Source organism: Homo sapiens, chromosome 21, assembly GCF_000001405.40.
Source record: "Homo sapiens chromosome 21, GRCh38.p14 Primary Assembly".
NCBI lineage: Eukaryota > Metazoa > Chordata > Mammalia > Primates > Hominidae > Homo > Homo sapiens.
The window spans coordinates 20,728,593-20,733,734 of NC_000021.9; the positions used below are offsets into that span (position 1 = coordinate 20,728,593).

General features: G+C 39.7%; 1 annotated feature.

Annotated features, from left to right (window-relative positions):
• Positions 1,926-2,126: a silencer, noted in NCBI's record as "peak4375 fragment used in MPRA reporter construct". NCBI's record gives its function as "represses an SCP1 promoter by STARR-seq MPRAs in K562 erythroleukemia cells {active_cell/tissue: K562}" and the evidence as "EXISTENCE:reporter gene assay evidence [ECO:0000049][PMID:32103011]".

The window sequence follows — 5,142 nt, forward strand, 5'->3', positions numbered from 1 at the left end:
GCAGAATATAAAAGAGGAAGAATAGGGTCTGGAGGGAAGACAGAGATGGGTTTTGGGGATACTAATGGATGTTTCAGTATGACCCCTAAGTGGATAATTAATCAGTTGTGATATTAAAAATATTTAATAACTAATGCAACAAAGGCAATGCTTAATACCGTGGATGTTGGCAAATTCCCTACCGTAAAATGCTGGAGGCTTCCTGACTTACCAAGCAGCAGGGAGGGAGAAAGAAACTTAACTGCTGTAAGGTTGGAAGGTCCATCACACCAGAGCTGGAGAACTGCCAGTCCAGACGGAAGGTACTTAAAGGGTGTGACAGCAGCTTTAAATGGCTTGTTAGTGCAGTTGACACCTTCGCAGCCATACCAGTACACCGGGATGAATACCAGCCTTGTACATGTGCATCTGCGTATCAGGAGAGCAACCTGTATTAGACATTGAGTTTTGGGAGCCTTTTCCCTTTGTGCCAGTTCCCAGAGTTCTTTGTAAGAAGACACTTCCTACTATTTCCATTTTATTATTCAATAATGGATGCTTTTACTCCATTTCTTACAGGTTTATTCCTAAAGAACAGGAGTTTCCCCTTTCTCCATGTTCATATTAAATTAATTAAGTGGTTCTTTTTTATCATAGTATCAAACACAGATTCAAAAATAAAACAAAGACAGACATTGATATGGCATTTTAAAGAGGATTCTTTTAATTTTCTATTTAGAATAATATTAAATAATGACTAAATATTATCTGCATTGTTTCTTACTATGTTCTTGATAATTTCTTTTATTTTTTTCATTTTCTCTTCTTTTTTAGAAAATCAAAACTTGTATAACCTAACAGCATGTTTCAGAAGCACCAAGCACTGTAAAGATTCTGAGATTGTATTCTTCTTGCAAGCTAACAAGTTAGACTGCCACTGTTTCATGAATTCTGGCAGAACATATGACACTCTTGAGTGAGGCACAAATACCTTTATGAGTCACAACAATTCCAGTAGCCAGAATATCAGCATTTTGTTGAGCAAGTTTCTCAAGCTCCAACTCCCAGAGGGCAAGCCAAAGACAGTAGGTGAAGCTCGCACACGAAGTGAGTTGTGTTAACAGCAGAAAAGCACAGAGTTTAGGGGAGCTAATTCTTCTATAAAAGCAGTAAGCATGCCTTCACCTTGCTCCAGAGGTAGACATTATTTTACTTTACTGGACAGTAAACAAATCTGCCCTTTGTGCTTGAGGGAGATATTATTCCTATCTTCCAAGGCTGTGCATTGTACAAACATCATTGGAAGGAGTCCAGACCAACATGTACAGAAATAAAAGAGATCATAGGGGGATTGTCTTCGTATGTTATCTGCACATTCCTTTACTATCCTGACTTCTGGACAATTTCTCTGTAAGTACACCTCTTCATTGACCACTTCAGTTAAACTGTCCATTAGTAGCTGGGACCAAATCTGTTCAATTTGTTTCATTTAGCATTTAACTTAGGCCACTATCAACACCACCTCAAGCAGCAGGATGAGGCCGTTCTGCATATTTAAACCACTCCCCAGCATCCTGGTCTTAACCAGTTGAACAAATCCCATAAGCCATCAGGGTCTACCTTGGAAAGCCATGCGACTTTCTCCTTAGGTTTCTGAATTGACTATTCCATAGGGCTGGAGACCTTAATCCTGAACAAAAGAATATATTAACAATTACGGTCTCCACCTTTGCATGCAAGAAGGAATTTTAGGGCATTTTTAAATCTAAAATAGGTCACTGAATTGAGGCTGACCTGAAAATCTTCTAGGGCCAAGTAATATTTCCTTATACACTTGAAGTTCTCTTATGACCACATCTGACGAGCAAGACATCTTGTTTGCAGAAAGAAAAAAGTTAACAACTGGCTTCTACTCAGGAAATATAGTTGAGTAGTTCTCAGCGTTCCCAGTTTAGCTTGAATAACTCGGTTTAATCCCTGTTTGCGGAGAGCCTGCTGGGGGCATTCAGTTCAAGCTATACCGTATACTGTATTCTATGTTATCAGCCGGATGGCATGCTTCTCCCCGGGGAATGACTAAGGAGCAGCTGTAAAAATAGGCATGAAGCAGAGACAGTACACCTGTGTTGACAAGTTGCTTAGAAGATTCAGAAGAAGGAGCCATTCTTTGCAGTTTCTATAGATTTCTCCATAAGATTAAGGCAAATAGTGATCTAATTGTGGACAGAGATGTCTGCTGGGCATAGCTAACCCAGCAGGTGGTTAAACTGAAACTTCTTGCAACAGTTCCAGAGAGAAGCCCCACAGTGATTCCTTCATGAGGAAGGCTCCAAAGGCAGATCTGAAAGATGAAGGTCACCGATATTCCTCCTTCCCCTACACCTCTCTCAGGATCTGATATACTTGTTATCTGGCACATTAGGTACCTGGTTGTTGCTCTCCCTCTACTACCACAAAGCCCATGTGCCACATTTTAGTAGAAATAATTTTACTTATTTTCTTGTCAGAATTTTTCTCTGGAAGAGTCAGGTGTACGAAGAGCAGGGACAGTTTTATAGAATTTACAGAGATTTGTTGTGTTCTCTACATTGGCTCACATTGCCAATAGTAGTGTATTGGACCAGATGATCACTATCTTTGTGATCTAGGATTATGCCAGTATTACAGGAGAATACAGGAAACTGAGCCAGAATTAAGCCTAATTTCCCTAGGCAGGCTCAGTGTGCATTCCAATCAGGCTGAATTGGTGTTACTTTTACAGGAAAAAAATGAAGCATCAGATCCAGAAATGGTAATGGCAGAAACCTGAAATGCTTATATATAACTTCTGACTTGTTTTGTCCTGATAATTACCCAGAAAGCACTTGAGAGTGGATTATTTCTTTCTGGTGATAGCTACATTCATTCACAAAACTGCCCTGTATGTGAACCAAAAAGAGGTAAGGATGGTGGCAAACTTCTAATGTCAACTTTTAAAGAGGCCTTTCTAATGCTCAGAAAATACTAGATGACTGTGGATGAGAACAATGGGTGACCCACTGAATACCTTGACAATCACTTATTTTTTTAGTAGGTTTTGTGATAAAAGGCCCACCACTGCCAAATTTCAAATGGTCCAGAAAATTGAAAATGTGACCCATATTAGTTTCAGGAGCTACAGCGATTTGGCCTGAGCCAGCAGTTGGACTAGAGCTGCAACTCTCTAACCTAAAAAAGTGTCACTGATGCTGAAGCATGACTGATAGTTCCATATGGGGTTACATGCCTGATATATTCATTCCGCCAAGAATGGGCCAGTGCAATACTGCATGCCATGCAGCTTCGTTACCTTGAGATAAAAGAAAAAGGTCAACATTTCTGGGGAGTCACAAATGTTGCATGTAGTGGTAGCCTCTGCAGTAGAAACACAGAGTTTTTATTTTGTATCTAGTCTAAAATGGTGGATGTGTTGTCACGCACATGCATACAGGAAGCAATGGTAACAGTCTAGGCGGTTCTTGATTCCAATTGTTCTTATAAAAACTAGACCCTTATCGGGGGTATCTAGACGACTTACCCAGATCAGCATTCATGATTTGTTTTTGTTTGTGGTTTCAAAGAGGAGTGACTTTAAAATGCTAGTCTGCAGCTTTCCAAACAGCAGATCCAACACTAAGCTATTGGAATGGACCTAAGAGTCAGTGCTGGAGAAAGACATTATGTTTAAGATAATGGACTATAAATAACCCTGCACTGTGCTCCAGAAGGAGACACTATCTCTGTCTTCCAAGTCTGTTCACACTACAAACTTCATGAGACAATAGTCCAGAAGAAAGGCAGTCAGATGTGAAGAGATTTCCCAAGGAGAAATAGTGGACAGAGGCTTAACTATTCTGAGGACATAATCTATTAACTGCTTCATATGGTTGAAGTGCCCTAATTCCTTTTTTAACCAAGATAAGTGACAGTGACAACCACCAATTACAGCCTTTTATTCTCTAATTAGACCAGTGACAAGTGGGCATCCTCTATTTTCTAAGAGAATTTATTATAAGAGCTGAGCATATACTTTAAAATATATATAACTAAAAGAAATAATTTTGGCCGGGCGCAGTGGCTCACGCCTGTAATCCCAGCACTTTGGGAAGCCGAGATGGGTGGATCACGAGGTCAGATCGAGACCATCCTGGCTAACACGGTGAAACCCCATTTCCACTAAATATACAAAAAATTACCCAGGCATGGTGGCGGGCGCCTGTAGTCCCAGCTACTTGGGAGGCTGAGGCAGGAGAATGGTGTAAATCCGGGAGGCAGATCTTGCAGTGAGCCGAGATTGTGCCACTGCACTCCAGCCTGGGCAACAGGGCGAGACTCTGTCTCAAATAATAATAATAATAATAATAATTTTTTTCAGAGCTTACCATCTATTCATCCTCTCTGTTTGTTATTATTTATATAAATTATCTTTTGCAAACTTAATATTTGAGTTCGTTTAGTAATATTTGTTCAAGGGTATAGTTGAACAAGCACAACATATCCAGAGGAAGAAAGAATTGTCACATGAGGATGACCAAAAGACTTTCTAGAGTGAAAATAAAGGATTTTCCATGGATATCTAAGACATTCACTCATGCTAATAGTAGGTGTTCTATATTTCAAAGCAATAAATATTTTACATAATTAATGCTAAAATGGTTATTGTGCAACCATTCCTAGCTCCTGAGGTCTCCTATATTATTTGAGCATGGGTCTTCTCATTTCAAAGGTAATTGGATGCTGATAGTTATTACAGAAAGGATGAATAAATTATCTCTTTCCAATGCAGTCATAATTTCAGCTTCCATCATGAACTTCCCTATTTAGCATCTACATTAGTTTGCTAGGGTTGTCATAACAAAATACTACAGAAATTTATTTTCTCGCAGTTCTACGGGGTTGAAGTTGAGAACAAGCTGTCATCAGATTTAGGTCCTTCTGAGGCCTCTCTCTCGGGTTTGCAGATGGCTGCCCTCCTGCTATGTCTTTACGTGGTTGTCTCTGTGAACACGTGTACCTTTGATGTTTCCTTGTGTGTCCAAATTCTTATTATGTGGACACTAGTCAAATTGGAGTAGGGCTCACATTAACAGCCTAATTCAACCTTGATTACCTTTATAAAGATGCTGACTCCAAATATAGTGACAG